The 16,358-nt window shown below is 37.2% G+C and overlaps 1 protein-coding gene across 3 annotated transcripts in view, besides 1 other annotated feature; it reads left to right on the top strand.

The window, feature by feature from the left end:
* SLC25A21 (solute carrier family 25 member 21) overlaps positions 1-16,358 on the top strand; it is a 494,686-nt gene that overhangs the window by 43,977 nt on the left and 434,351 nt on the right. The window lies entirely within an intron of this gene.
* Positions 6,012-6,306: a silencer, noted in NCBI's record as "tiled region #11704; HepG2 Repressive DNase matched - State 21:Repr". NCBI's record gives its function as "represses a minimal TATA promoter and a strong SV40 promoter by Sharpr-MPRA in HepG2 cells {active_cell/tissue: HepG2}" and the evidence as "EXISTENCE:reporter gene assay evidence [ECO:0000049][PMID:27701403]".

The following is a 16,358-nucleotide window of genomic DNA, read 5'->3' as shown; positions in this document are numbered from 1 at the left end:
GCCTGGGCAACAGAGTCAGACTGTGTCTCAAAAATAAAACAAAGCAAAATGCACACACACACACACACACACACACACACACACACACACAGAGAGAGAGAGAGAGAGACAGAAAGTAATGCTTAACATGCAGAATAATGGGTCATATTGACTTGTATTTACTTTAGAGTTGAAAAATCTCTTTGTATTAACACATCGAAATAACACAATTTAATGTAGCTTATGCTTCACTCTCAGAAATAAAATTCTTGCCAAATAACATGATATCTTTCTGGCTTCAAACAACAGAAAATATATTGTCTTACAGCTCTGGAGGCTAGAAGTCCAAAATCAATGTGTTGGCAGGGCTGGTTCCTTCTGGAGGCACTAAGGGAGAATTTATTCTATGTCTCTTTCCTAACTTGTGGTGGTTGCCAGAAATATTAGGCATCCCTCGGCTTAAACAACATAATATTTTTTAATCCATTGGTTTGGGCATTTCTTAAAGACAAATGCCTATTGACTGGGAAGTAAGGAGATGAACAGGCATTTCTGTTTTTATAGGGATGGTTGTATTTACCACACAATAAACAAAAGTACCTTCCAGTTGTCTAAACACAGATTGTAACATAACTTTTCTTGTATGAGTTTTTGCTTGTTGAATTCTTAGGTTTCTTATCTGAGAATCACATTCTCATTGCTTCTTGACTGAAAGATATTTGGCTTCTCCTAGTCCTTATGCTTCTAATAGTCTCTTCTCTTTATGACAATTTGATATAGCCTCTGAGTGTCAGTATATTCCATCTTACCAAACTAATTCCACCACCATCTAAAACTGGAATGAAAAATTATGTTGGTTGAAGTCCACTTCTGGCTTCCTGACCAGATCTTTAGTTTTGAGGTTTCCATATGTTAGTTTATGTTATTTGAGACAAGACAATTGAATGTAGCAGTCAGTTAGAGACCTGGTCTTTGTGCTCTTGAAACCTGACTTTGCTTTCGATCAATGAAGGGATTGGATTTTATGCTTATACAAGTAAGAAAGAACAATTGGAAACCTATTTCAACTTTGTGCCAACAGTTAGTAAGTGTTACACACTCTTTCGAGCTTTCGCCATTGACTAAAGAAAAAAAAGCACTAGAAGTCAAAGATAAGGATCTAACTATAGAGGAAGTTTAAAAAGAAAAAACTGAAAAGGTGCTCATAACGCTTTGTGCAGCATTAAAGTTAAAGTCAAAGATATTTGTTTTGATCAAATGGTAGGTACCTGCATAGGTATCTATCATCTTTTCGTAGAGGCAGCTGATGAGTGGAAATTTGTGGTGTTTGGAGTGAGACATCCCTTGATTAGAATCCTGGTTCTGCTGCAACATGGCTGTGTGACCTCAGGCAAATTTCCTAAGCCCTTTGAGCCTCATTTGTTAAATGAGGATAAAAATGCCCTCTTTGAAGTGTTAATAAGATATGTTTGTGACATGCTTGGGGCCTGGTTGTTATTCTTTGTCCAGTCTAACCTAGCGCTGTTTACGTATAACAAATTCTATCTCTATCACTTTCTTCTTTTTCCTTTTCCCTAGGTGAACCCAGTGCTCTCAGAACCAGGCTGGGGATGGGCAAGCAATAGCCACGTAATATTTATGTTGTAGAAACATAGATTTCAGTATTTTCAAGTAGATCCTGGCTATTTTCTTTCAAATAAGATCAGTTCCATAGTCCTCTTTCCAAACACAGGCTGGTAGCAAAAATATAGTTCCTTAACTTCCAGCAAAACCTCTTACCAAGAACTCTATAAAAAATGAACCATTGACCTAAGTGTTTTAAGTGCAAGGGAAACTAAAATGTCCTTGTAAGCCCCTTGAGGGCAAGGAAGTGATTAAAGAATGCCCTGAATGTTTTCCTGTGCCCTGTACCTAGCAGCTACTTTGTAAATGTTTGTTAAGCAGAATCAGGTTGACATGTTCGTGTAGGCTTTTTGCTATAATTGAACATAGTAACTTGTGGAAATCAATGTGCCAGTAGCCTCCTATTTTTATGGTACATTGCATGTATTATATAATTATGCAAAAATACGTAATTACATACCTATACATAACTCCTTGTAACAAATGTCTTTCAATGACTCAAAAACTTGTAATGTAAAATATACAGTTGCAATGTTTATCTAGTATCACAAATAGAAATTAAAGGATAAATATTATATGTATAATTAAATAAATTCCACAGAAGCCCTTAATTTAGGTATATTGGCTGGGCATGTTGACTCACACCTCAAAAAAAAAATTAGGTATATTATAGTGAGGGCATTGATATTGGCCAAGTACCATTTTGGTGGCTTTGGTAAATCACCAATATTGTCAAGCCTTGATGATGGTTTTGTAATGTTGTACTGTTGATCTAATCTCAGTGAATTGCCAGGTCTGTGATAGTCAGCACAACTAATGCTCAAATCAGTCCTTGTTTATGACAAAGCTGTTCAACTCCTGAGTGTGGTATACACATAGCACATGTGCAGGAAGGAAAGCTATTGCCAGGCCACAGTGCAGCGGTGTCCTGAGTTATGATCAAAATAAAAATGTAGGCAGTATTTTTAACCTGAATTGTGTGTAGGATAAAAAGAGGTGTGATGAAAGACTTTGGGACCACATCTTTATATATTACCCATATCTTTGAAAATTATTATATCATTCAGTACTCAAACTACAGGTGGAAAGCATAATTGTTTCTAATTTATATGAGCAAGGAATGTGTCTTTTGAATTGCTACGTACCTGGGATTCCTTTTGACACTTACTCAGTACAATGAAATCTTGCCACAGCATTTGGACAGCCTTAAAAGTAACTGAAATGCTGTGTATCCCAGTTGACTTCTTCCCGCTGTGCTAGACAATAAATACATAATGGTGTTTAATAGGTCTATGGACTTGGAGTCTGCCTTATTTTAACCTAATCATAATGCTTTTTTAAAAGAAATAATTGATATCCTACCATCTACTAGAATATAGTTGTTACTCTCACTTAACCCTCTACCAAATAGCACAATTAAATAAAATCTAATCCTGTATAAAAACAAGGGAAGTCAGAGAATTTAATGTTTACTTTAGTCATTTTTTAAACTTGGTTTCTCTTTGTCCTATCTAGACTCTTCTTTGAATCCCAAATAATAAAATCTAGCATTAGAAGGGACTTGGAGATCATCTATTCCACCTGCCTTGTTTTACAGTGGTCCAAAGATATGAGATAATTTTCAGAAACTCATACATTTAGCTAATGGAAGACGAGGGGCTTGTGGATTGTAGACTCTGGACCCTTGGAGAATATTTTCATAGCTGTTTATGTTAACCGAAGTATCACTCCATTCTATATGTGACTCCATAATATTTACTCATTTGCAGATGCCATTTGTTCTTTTATCAGAAGAGTCCTTAGGCAAGTAGATCCTTGAATTCCCTAATTTTACATATGTGGAAACCGACACTCTGAGTTGTAATTTACCGAGGTCACACAGCTATTTTAGTAGCATAACCAGGACTAGAGCCTTGGTGGCCTGACTTCTACCTAGTGCAGGGCTCTTTCTGTTGGGCATCCATTCAGATCCTGTATTGTTAGTCTGTCCTCACATTGCTATGAAGAAATATTTGAGACTGGGTAATTTTTAAACAAAAGAGGTTTAATTGGCTTATGGTTTAATAGGCTGTACAGGAAGCATGGCAGCATCTACTTCTGGGGAGGCCTCAGGGAGCTTTGGCTCATGGCAGAGGGCAAAGCAGGAGCAGGCATCTTCACATTGCTGGAGCAGGAGCAAGAGAGAGAGGTAGGCGGCGCCACACACTTTTAAATAACCAGATCTTGTGAGAACTCTGTCATGAGAACAGCACCAAGTGGGAAATCTGCCTTTAAGATCCAGTCACCTCCCACCAGGCCCCACCAACACTGGGATTACAATTTACATGAAATTTGGGCGGGGACACAGATCCAAACCACATCAGATCCCATTCACAGTTTATTTTTATGTTTGCATTTGGTGATATCTGTAACCAAGAGAGGTTACTGATATTTTCAGCCTTGGGAATCAAACCATCGAGCTTAAGAGAGGAATCATTATAGCACAGCCACATGCTTAGGAATAGATTTTTATCTTTGCTATAGGTAACAATAATATATTGGGAAAATCTAGTTGGTGCTGTATATGCTGTGATGTAACCCTAAGTATGCATCTCAGGTCTGCAGTGTTTAAACTAGATCTTCTGTTTACAGAACTGCTGACAAATATTCTCGGGAAAGGATGATATGAAATAGAATATTCTGTTTACTATTTAAGGCCCTAAAACAGTGCCCTCTGAAGGAAAAATAAAATAAGAAGGAAGTATCTTAAAGAGGATATTATTTTTTCTTTATTTTAAAACCAATGTGGCTCTCAAAGTGCTCAGTGTGGCTCTCAAAGTGCTGTAATCCCAGCACTTTGAGAGGTGGAGACAGGAGGGTCACTTGAACACGGAGTTCAAGACTACCCTGAGCAACACAGGGAGAGCCTGTCTTGGTGTGAACCCAGGAGGCGGAGCTTGTAGTGAGCTGAGATCGCACCACTGCACTCCAGCCTGGGCGACAGAGTGAGACTCCGTCTCAAAAAAAAAAAAAGATAATGATAAGAAAATGAAACCAATCCAACTTAATTTGAAAAATGGAGAAAAGCGTAGCAAAGAAGTTAAAATCACTAATAACTATATCCCCAGTGATAATCACAATTATGTTGATATATTTCCTTATAGTATTTACTTATTTAATTTTTATTTATGGAGACGAGTTCTCACTATGTCACCCAGGCTGGTCTCAGACTCCTAGGGAGCTCAAATGATCTTCTTGCCTTAGCCTCCCAAAGTGCTAGGGCTACAGGTGTGAGCCACCATGCCTGCCCCTCCTTATAGTCTTTAGTTTCTGTGTTTAAAATCCCATTTATAGGATTGTCATGATTTATGTTATACAATTTCATATTTTTATATTATATTCTAAGAATATTTCTGTCATTTTATATTTTGAGCATAAATACCATTTTTTAATGAAGGTATGCCATAATTTATTTAATTAAAACCTTGTTGGCTATATGATTGTTCTTTCTAGTTTTTTACTGTTTACAACAATGTATCATTATATTAAATGGGAAAATGTGAAGGCTTAGTCAGAGGGAGTATCTGGCAGGGCAAACAGCATGGGTGACACATTGGTTGTTGCTTTCTAGTTTTAAAAATTGCTTCCTCAGAAGGAAAATTGCATTCTTCTCTTTCTGTAGATCTGAACGTTCTTTTCTTGTCAGTTATAGGTGCTTGTTTTCATTTAGTTGTTGGTGACTGAAATCGAGGAATCGGAAGAATAATTAGTCCACAGCAGGTACACCAAGCCTGGCTCCATCTAAATGTCACTCCTTTCTACCTCCATCTCCCCAACCCTGTAGGTTAAAGTAGTCCAAGAAATCACTTACAGCATTAAGCAATAACCTTGAAGTATTTTCTTTTTCCAAATGCTGAAGATGCCAAAGTGCTTTAGAAAACAACCAATTTACATTTTTAACATTCTTCTCATTCGTAATATTAATAAGTAATTTCCGCTTATCTGTGAATACAGGTCCTAAGCATTCATAGAGCGTACGTTTCACTTCAGCTTTTGAGAAGCAAGTATCTATTTGATATTGGATTTTAGATGCCTAAGATATAGTAGCAAATTGTTATCAGCTATATAGACCTATATTTATAAACATACAAATTGTGTTGCAAAAGGAGGATTTTTTGGTTGATTTCTAGATGAGTGATACTTTAATTTTTAGTATTTTGGTAAATAATTCTCAGTTATTGGGGGACAAGAACGTCAATAAAACATTTGGACCACTGTTAGTGATCATGGAAGAGGGAAGGAGGATACAGCTCCTCTTTTATGAATATTCCCTGATATATCCAAATGGAGTTAAATTTCTTTTTGTGTGGAGTGTAAATTTTGTGTAGTGTTCAAATGTTGTACTCATACTATATCGTATTGTTTCTTTACATGTGTACATTCAAAGCTTCCACGTGAAGCTACTCTGGTTGTATACAGCACTACCATGTGAGTCATAGCTGTGGCAATGTGTACAGTGTATGATTCTGTCTACATCCTCCAGAAAACAGTGAGCACTTTGACAGAAGTAATTAATTGAGTCCTGGCCATTTTTGTATGCCCAGCACTTAGCATAGAGCCTGACTCATGGTAGGTGTTCCTTATTTTCTTTTGAACGAATAAGGGAAGGAATGTGCTACTGTTAAGCCACATTCCTCTCTGTTTTCCAGACTATGTTTGGGTAGTTGGTTTCCCCAAGTAAAGAATTTAGACATGAAAATCCACTTGCACAAGCACTGTAGGATAGATGTATAACTGATTAAACAGATGCACTGAAAAACGTTAAAGAGTTCTTCTTAACCTAAAGCATATTTTCCAAAGTGTGTTTGGTAGGACATTAGTCCTGCAAGGTACACTTTAGAAAAAAGTTTCTAGTTAAATAAGTTTGGGAAAAAAGGTACACTATATCCTCCTGTTAAAGATTAGCAATGTATGTTAGCATATTAAAGGTTCTGGAGATAAGGTGGTTGAGTACCTCAAGAAATAAAAATGTTATATAAAACTGATAAAAGGATAGAGAGAGACTATCATCAGGGGAGATGGGTTTATTGCTGTCTCTGGGCATTAGGGGACACTTGATGAAGGACTCTCACGAGATGGTTCTTGAAAGAAAGGATTGGAGCATAAGATGAGATGGGATGAGTTTCTCCGGCGTGAATTCCCCACTCATGGCATTTAATAGAAACAACACTTTTTGCTTTGTTTTTTTTTGGTTCTTTTTGAGATGGAGTCTCGTTCCGTCGCTCAGGCTGGAGTGCAGTGGCGCGATCTTGGCTCACTGCAACCTCCACCTCCCAGAATAAAGCAATTTTTCCTGCCTCAGCCTCCCAAGTAGCTGGGATTACAGGCACCCACCACCACACCCAGCTAATTTTTGTATTTTTAGTAGAGATGAGATTTCACCGTGTTGGCCAGGCTGGTTTCAAACTCTTGGCCTCAAGTGATCTGCCCACCTCAGCCTCCCAAAGTGTTGGGACTACTGTTGTGAGCCATCGTTCCTGGCCAGAATCTGCACTTAAAACAAAATAAAAAACAAAAACAAATTATATGCTGGTATCCACATGTTAACTTGTTTTGTACCTCCCTCACTCTTTACATTTCCCTCCCCTATCCGCACTGACATGTCATTTTGTTTCCACTCAATAGGTCAGTGAGATTAGGAGTATTAAATTAATTGAACTCATGTTCACACAATTTATCTCAGGGGAAAAATCGTGCCCTGTCATGTAATCGGCCAAAAGAAAGGACCAAATAACTGGATGTAACCATTCTAATAAGGTAGCATGAAAATTCTGGACTAATCTTTTCAATAATTTTCATGAGCTGTGTCTAGGAGCAAGTGTGGTTGTTAAGCTTTTTGCCTGGCGCAAGTTCTGAAAAAGTTTGAAAGTCACTTTTAAAGGGTACATGATCACTTTCAGTTTGCCCTTTGGGACATTTCTTCAGGTCACTTAAGGTTAAAAGACCTTGGTCATAATACTTTTTGCGAAGAAATGTTTACTCAGCCCATTTATTAGCTTCAGGTTGTCCTCAATTAGCAAGTGGTCTCACGTTTATAGCATCCACAACAGCTCTCTCAATTTTCCCCTTATAAGAGGAAAGAGTGGAAGGATGTGGCTGGCAGTACTTATACCAATTAGGACATTCTCTCTCTTCAAGGAGCAGAATGTGTCTTTTTACTGATTTATATATGGAGAAACTTCTGGATACTTTTCTCTCATTGCTCAGCTTTCCAATGGTAACACCACCAAGAAGAGGGCACAAGAGAAAACACCCCAGCTCTGGATGTTTTTATTTCACCACCTTTTTCCCCACAGTTGAGCTGACATGCCCGGTAACTAAGCTTAGGAATGGCCCACAGCTTGTAGTGCGCAGTGTCTTTTGGTTCAAGGGCCCAAGGCAAAGCAGTCAGATCTGGTGCTCCTTATGCTTCATGGGTAGTCTCTCCCATCCTCTGCATTGTGGAGTTTGGCAGCTGTTTTGGTGTTCTTTCTTTCTAACTCTGGATAAAAGGCAGAAAGGACTTAAAGTCACCACTGATTTATTGGAGGACTGAAGGCAGTATTGATGAACATGAAGTAAGTCCCCTTTGGTCATTTAAAAACATGTCATATTTACTTTTTGCAACACATTAATAGTAACTTTGTAAGACGTATTCTTTCAAATGACATTACACACATGTACAATATATGCTTTTTATGAAAAGGTCTAAAGCCAAAATGTTTAAAACACATGTTGATTAAAAACTTGGAGGTGGTGGGTGAGGAGATAATTTGCTCCAGTGACTTTTGTATAAAGATTGGCAGTTTTTAAAGGAAGGGAAAATCTTCTCCTGAGCCTGATTTCATTCCATAGTTTACTTAAAGAAAAAGCTGTCTTGACGTTTTGAATTATTAAATTTAGAAGGTATAAAAATATTATGATTATTTTATTTCTGTGGTGAAATTTTAATATAATTCTTATGATTTATGTAAAGTATGTTCTTCTTTTGATAGATTCACAGAAATGTTTCCATCTTATTTTCTATTTCTAAAGTCTGAACATTGAATCTCCTTCTGCCACTCGTATCATTGTGGCAGATATCATATCATATCATTTTCACCTTTATCTTTAGGTAGGAACTTGCTGCCACCCTACCTGAGAACAGTGTACAGTAAGATCTTTGTAGTTGATGCTGTATTACATATTTACCTCTCTGTGAGCTATTTTCATTTTAATAGAGCTGAAATGGTTACCAGAAAGGGGTTCCCATCCAGACCCCAAGAGACGGTTCTTGGACCTCACACAAGAAAGAATTTGGGGCAAATCCATAGAATATAGAATAAAGTGAAAGCAAGTTTATTAGGAAGTAAAGGAATAAATAGTGGCTACTCCATAGGCAGAGCAGCGGCGTGGGCTGCTCAACTGATTATGCTTATAGTTCTTTTCTTTTCTTTTTTCTTTTTTCTTTTTTTTTATGGTGTCTCACTCTGTCGCCTAGGCTGGAGTATAGTGGCACTATCTTGGCTTACTGCAACCTCCATCTCCCAGGTTCAAGCAATTCTCCTGCCTCAGCCTCCTGAGTAGCTGGGATTATAGGCCCATGCCACCACACCACCACGCCTGGATAATTTTTGTATTTTTAGTAGGGATGAGGCTTCACCATGTTGGCCAGGCTGGTCTCGAATGCCTGACCTCAAGTGATCCACCTGCCTCAGCTTCCCAAAGTGCTGGGATTACAGGCATGAGCCACTGTGCCTGGCCTAGTTATTTCTTGATTCTATGCTAAGCAAGGGGTGGATTTATGAGTTTTCTGTGAAAGGGGCAGGCAGTTCCTGGAACTGAGGCTTCTTCTCCTTTTTCGACCATCTAGGGTAACTTCTGGATGTTGCCATGGCATTTGTAAACTGTCATGGCGCCAGTGGGAGTGTCCTTTAGCAAGCCAATGCATTATAATTAGTGTATAATGAGCAGTGAGGATTACTGGAGGTCACTTCCATCACCATCTTGGTTTTGGTTGGATTTGGCCAGCTTCTTAACTGCATGCTGTTTTATCGGCAGGATCTTTGTGACTTGTATCTTGTGCTAAGCTTGTATCTCATCCTGTGACTTAGAATGCCTAACCTCCTGGGAATGCAGCCCAGTAGGTGTCAGACTTATTTTACCCAGCCTGTGTTCAAGATGGAGTCACTCTGGTTCAAATGCCTCTGAAAAAACCTTTAAATTAAAAAAAAATTATTGTAATGGTGGATTTTCAGGAATCAATTACTAGGTAAGGAAACCATGGGAGTCAAGGAATAAGTATAAAAACCCTAAAGAAAAGATAGTCCAGGGAATTACTCTGCTTAAATTTAAGGTTGGTTTTATGTACTTCCTTAGTAGTTGTCTCAATCCTTAAATATCTTTTAAAATAAGAAAAATAAGTTGGACTATTATCAATAATAGTGTAACCACTCAATGGGTTCTTCTTACCCACTGCCCAGATAAAGCCAATTTATCAAGGCAGGGGAACTGCAATAGAGAAAGAGCTTTACATATTCAGAACCAGTTAAACAGGAGAGCGGAGTTTTATTATTACTCAAATCAGCCTCCCTAAAAATTTGGAGGCTAGAGTTTTTCAAAAATAGTTGGGAGGAGGCAGGTGGCTGGGGAATGGGAGCTGCTGATTGTTTGGGGGTACAATCACAGAGCTGTGGAAAATGGTCTTCCTGTTTGCTGAGTCTGCTTCTAGGTGGGGCCACAGGACTTGTTGGTGGATCTGGGTGGAGCCATCAGTTGTCAGAAATGCAAAAACCTGAAAAGACATCTCAAAAGTCCATTCTTAGGTTCTAACAATAGTGGTGTTATCTGCAGGAGTGGTTGGAGAAGCTGCAAATATTGTGACCTCTGGAATAATGGCTGGTAATCCATTACATCTGTACGTTAGTATAATTCGGGTTCCTACCATCCTCCTAACTTGGTGGCCTTTCATTAGTTTTGCAAAGGTGGTTTAGTTTCTGGGGAGGGCTATTATCATTTAAACTATAAATTAAGCTTTTTGGGAGGAGGGGAATCCATACAAAAAAGAATCATTTTGTAGTCTTAAAATATTTGTTAATTTAATAAAGTTTTTAAACTATCTTTAGTGATTGGACTTCCTACCAAAATGACAAAAAAAAAAAACAAACAAAAAAAAACTATGTTTGGTGAATTTTATGTATCCAGTAACTACTTTTTGCTTTGTGATCCTGTATTTTTATCCTCAGATTGCTTATGTATTTCTGCATTTAGGAAGGAGATGGCAGTATTGAGCCTTGGCAGTGACTTAACCCCACTATTTGAAGGAGCTTAAAAGTTCTTCATAGAGAGGTATCAGTTTCATCTCTTGGGATTTTATTTTCTACACTTCCCCCCTCTCCCTCTTTGTATTCCCATGTGGAGAGTGAAAAACGTACTCTAGTATATGTTATATTAGATCTGTCATACCAGGATACTATTAAATTACTTATTCTCATTTCTACACATCTAAGAATGCCGACTTAAGGGATGTATAGAAAAAACTCTCTTCTAAAATAAAGAGAGCCAGCTCTAAAATGCAAAAGTATGTTTACGATGTGCCTGTTTTCCTAAGGCTTTGACAGGAAGAATTAACTTTACATTTCCAACATACAAAACACTTTACTGAGCCACATCTTATGGTAAATAAACTGTGCTCTGGGAATAAATTTTTCACCATTTCTTTTTTAGGGCAATAAGCTACTGCTAAGAAAATGACTTTTTCTAGTGCTGATGCCCTGAAAAAAAGTTTAGATGATGAGAGGAATTATTTACTTAGACTCCATTCACAGCCACTGTTTTGCCTGCATTCCAAATTTCAAAAGGATGATTCATGTACCTTTTAGCTCTATGTTGAAAAATAAAATGAGTCACAGTGCCCTTTGTCAATATCAAGAGTAATTAAAGAGTACATTTTTCAGCTATAAACTATAAGAAAAACAGAATGCTACCACGTAAAGTTGTAGTAAGTTGTTTTTAAAAGTATAAGCCAAGATTAGCAAACTGAGCCGCCATGTCAAAGGATCTGAATTGGTAGTTGGAATGGCACCCAATACTACAAGTTATGTTTTGAAAAGCTGTCCTGCCATGCTTAAAATAAGAAAAAGAAATATTTTAACTCATAAGATTATGTGGCTTTCTTTGAAATCTGGGCAATTAAATCACATACAAAAAGATGTGTAGTTGTTTAGTTTGATTATCATTGACAGTGGGATTTTCTTTGGTACCTTAACTTTTATATGTTCAAAATTGTTGTTGAAATGTTATGTGACAAATAATTTGTGGATTTAACTAAGCCAGCAAGCATATTTGGTTTCTATTATAAGTGAAGGACCCAACAACAACATCTTCATTTCATATTGTTCCGATAAATTTAATGACATTATTTTTTTTTGAACCAAAAGGAAATTTTTTCTCAGCTGGATTCTTTCACTGTAGGTTTTAATCACAAACTTTGAAAATGAGAACATAGCTATTATTTTTTATTAAAAGGATATGTTCTGGTTAGTTTGGAAAGGTCTGCCTAGTAAGGGCTTTCAATAACATGTCCAAGGACTTCAAATGTAATGCTGAAGTTAGAGAAAGTCAAATATGCCTTGTAGTACCATTGTATCTTAAGTGTTGTAAGATGCACACAAAGTGAATGTATATGCATTGTAAGGTAGTAAATTGTAAATTCCAACTGAGAAGAGGCCAGTGAAAGATTATCTACCCGGAGTGGGACATAGGTCTGTATATGTGGTACCAAGCTCATCTTGAGAGAGGGTATTGTACATGTGCTGTGTGTTATGAAAATTGAAGTTTACAGTGTCTTACATATAACATGTATTCGCTTAGTGCTTGCTGAGTGATTTAAATTTTATGACTATTCTTGCTTAGTAAGTTTTAGTTGTTTTTTTTTAAAGCCAATACTTCAAAACTCTTTGAGTTTTCTTATCCTTTCTGTTAAAGCAGGATTGTTCCCTGGGACAAGTTCAGTTTTACATAGATAAATATAATGTGAATTTCTTTAAAATGTATTTTTATTTAATGTATTATTTGTATTTTCATTCTTAATGTAGTTTTTAAGTAGAAGAAACGTTTAATCTTTAAATACTTTAGCCAAAGTGCTGAATATTACAGTTATGGGATCTGAAACATTCATTGGTTTTTAGCTCAATTAAAATATTTTACACTTGCTATATATGAAATCTTATACTAGTTTGAAATGAAGCAATTCATTGAAGTTGATGTTTTGGTCATGCTTTAGTTGTCTCACCAGTATTTTAGCCTTGTGAATATGTTTCAGGCTGCTCCTCTCTTTAAGGAACATTTCCTTAATTCTTTTCTCAGCAGCTTGAATAGGCACATATCAAAGTCAAATACATCTCCTAGCCCTAGATGGATTTCTAGGAGGAACCACCACTGTTAGCAATATTGAATTGTTAGTGTTTTTGCATAAAGTAAATAAACCCTGAGGAGAGCCCTTGAGTTCTTTGGAGTTATGCTGGAATGAGATTAAAAAATTAGAGTTTTCTCTTTTTTCCTCTCAGTCTTTCCTGTGTCTTCCATGCAGGGGCCGTCCTCATGTATTTTTGCTGGTATGTGTGATCCTCACAGAAAACAAATTCCTGTTGTTGTTTATTCATTCAGATATTTGTCAGACTCTTCTGCAAACTAGTGATGCAGAGCAGGAGAACTGACAGGGCCCTGTCCTGTTTTCAATACTCCGTAGCATCAATTCTTGGCAAACTTCAGTGGGACCTTGGCGGTGCTGCCCTCCTGGGCCTGGTCTTCATTATGGTGTGTAAAGAGCCACCTTTCTTAGCCAGGCTTGTAGGATATATCCCCGGGCAAAAGATGCCAGAACGTCTAGGACACTTGGTCTCAAAGAAACTCTCTTTGATTGAGTGGTCATGGTACATATATTAGCCAAAGACTTGATGATATTCTGTTATCTGGCCATCCCACATTTGGAGCCAGATATTATTTTGGGTACAAATGTCACTATTTCAGTCTCCTTGGAGCCAGAACAATTGTTATCTTTAGCTGAAATGCTAAATCTGTGTCTAGGTATGTACATAAGAGGATTCAGATGACATAATTTTACCTGAATTTTTTCAGACTACCATAGAAACTTGATTTGAATACAAGGAGAAAACATCGAAATTCATCTTTTTGAAAAACAAGAATGAAAACCACCAATGAAAACCACCAATTCCCCCCCCGCCATAAAAATGACTCTCTGCACCACTGGTTTGCAGAAGAGTCTGACAAACATTTGAATGTGTAAACAACAGGAATTGGTTTTCTGTAAGGATCACACATACCAGCAAAAAAAAGGTTGTCTCACACTTTCTCACAGCGATTTCATACTTCTACATGCTGCTAACTAGAAAGAAATTCTATGATATATTGATAATGTGAAATTAAACAGATTGTTTATTCCCTCTTAAAAATAGCGTGTTTTACTAGAACAACCTCAGAGGACTACTAAAGAAAATGATTTAAGTATTGCGCAGCAACAAATGATTGAGTCTAGTAAAGTGGGATTTTTCTTGCCTTCAAAGTTTCTAATATACTTGGTCTATTTAGAAAACAAACACATTTAATTGCTTCCATCTCTTAAATATGTCTAGTAAGTTCAGTTTTTAGTTGCTGTACAAATAAATTGGTCCTAGTTGCATTGCTTTCTTTCAAACATCATTTCAAATTAGGGCTTAATGTGGTTTGAACATTTTGCCAGAAATAGTCATCCTACTTTTGTCTGAGGGTGGTTGATTACATCTATCTTTTCCAGCTTACAAATGCCAATATATTTAGAGGAATGCAAACCCAACCCGGAGACCATTTGTCATCACACGTTGATTGTAACTCTATGTTTTATTATGGTGCGTAGGAGGAAAAGCAAACAAATAAAAATCTGAAGAAAAATGGAATGTCAGAACATGCTATACATTTTTGTTGCATCACCATGTTTAACCTATTTTTCTCTACTACTTTTAATGCTTAATTACCCAGATTATTCAAATATTTGTAAATACTTTTTAATGGTAGACTCAAAAATAGCTTTCAATATTTTAGTAGCAAATATACAGGAAGAATAAGTTATAACAAATGAGGGAGAAGTTTAACATTATTATTTCTTTTTTTTTTTTTTTTTGAGACAGAGTCTCGCTCTGTTGCCCAGACTGGAGTACAGTGTTGCGATCTTGGCTCACTGCATGCTCCACCTCCCGGGTTCAAGTGATTCTCCAGCCTCAGCCTCTTGGGTAGCTGGGAGTACAGGCACATGCCACCACACCCAGCTAATTTTTGTGTTTTTAGTGGAGACAGGGTTTTACCATCTTGGCCAGGCTGGTCTCGAACTCCTGACCTCAGGTGATCTGCCTGCTTTAGCCTCCTGAAGTGCTGGGATTACTGGTGTGAGCCAACACTCCCGGTCTAACATTATTATTTCAAAGCATGAGTTACAATAATTGTATATGGTATTTTCTAAAAATACTGGAGAAAAGACTCTGGGGAAAGAAAGCATTCTCAATGATATAATTGTTTAGTATCTACTCCCACGATGTGTATCCAAGGTCTGTATTTGTCCAGTTTGTGTACACAATCTTGTAATCTACTGTATCACTCTTTATTTTATTGTCATGAGGAATGCAGCTAAAGAGTGAAGAGGCTAGAAATATTTCCTATTTAATCAATTCCATGCCAAATCCATCCTGCTAAGCAAAATAGCAAGGTAGAGATGTTTGTATGATAGGAAAAAAGGTGTTTTTTTAAGTTCTGTGTAATAAGAAGCTAGCAGATAGCCAGCCATAGGTAGAATGTGACTGTGGTGAATGATTTCAGCATCCTGCTGAAATTTTTTTGGACTGTTGAAATCTGACCTACCTGAGGTGTCTATGGAAACTCTCAGAATCATTTTACGAAGCTCTCTTAGTGTGACTTGACCGAGCTAGAGTTAAGACTCCCTGAAGATTCTAACTCTTGTAATAGAGGCAGAGGCACTTAATGAGTGTCGTTTCTTTGCATCTATTCCGATTTTTTTTTTGTTTCCATTTTTTAGTCATTAACAAAGTAGAAAAAGCTTATGTTAATTAGGGTATAATCTAAGTTGCTGTATCAAAGACACCCTAAAATACAGTGACTCAGAAAAGAAAGAGGGCATAGAGGAGTTTTCATTCCATAAGGTGAAGGAATTCATGTTACTTCTGTTTTTCCCTTCTTTCCCCAAAATATGACTCCCATCTAATAGTAAAGGTGGATTACCACAACTCTGTTCTTGTCCTAGCCTCAATTGATGGTGGATAGTCATAAGAACGGAGGGAAAGCCACTTCCTTAATACAAATGTGGCCTGAAATTGTTTACATCACTTCCTTTCTTTCATATGTCATTGGCTGGAACTTAGTTATATGGTCACACCTAGCTGCAAAGGACTCTGCGAAGTATAGTTTGGGGATAGGCAATTATGTGTCCAGCTAAAAGTAAGAAGTAATGGGAAATATTCTATTATTACAAGGAAGGAACAGGAGAATGAATATTGGAGGACAATTAGTGGTCTGTGCCAAAGCACTCTACTTAAAATTTCTGATTTTTGTTACTTCATCTCCCATTTTCTCTTATTTCTCCCTCTTTATTCTTACTCTTTTGTGCTTATTGCCTCTTCTCCCTTCTTTTACACTAGAGTATTGACAATGAGAATGTTCAATGTAAATAGCTAGTGTTCTCCAGTGGTCCGTGT

The sequence above is a fragment of the Homo sapiens genome, chromosome 14 (genome assembly GCF_000001405.40).
Source record: "Homo sapiens chromosome 14, GRCh38.p14 Primary Assembly".
NCBI classification, from domain to species: domain Eukaryota; kingdom Metazoa; phylum Chordata; class Mammalia; order Primates; family Hominidae; genus Homo; species Homo sapiens.
This window is presented reverse-complemented; position numbering and strand designations above follow the sequence as displayed.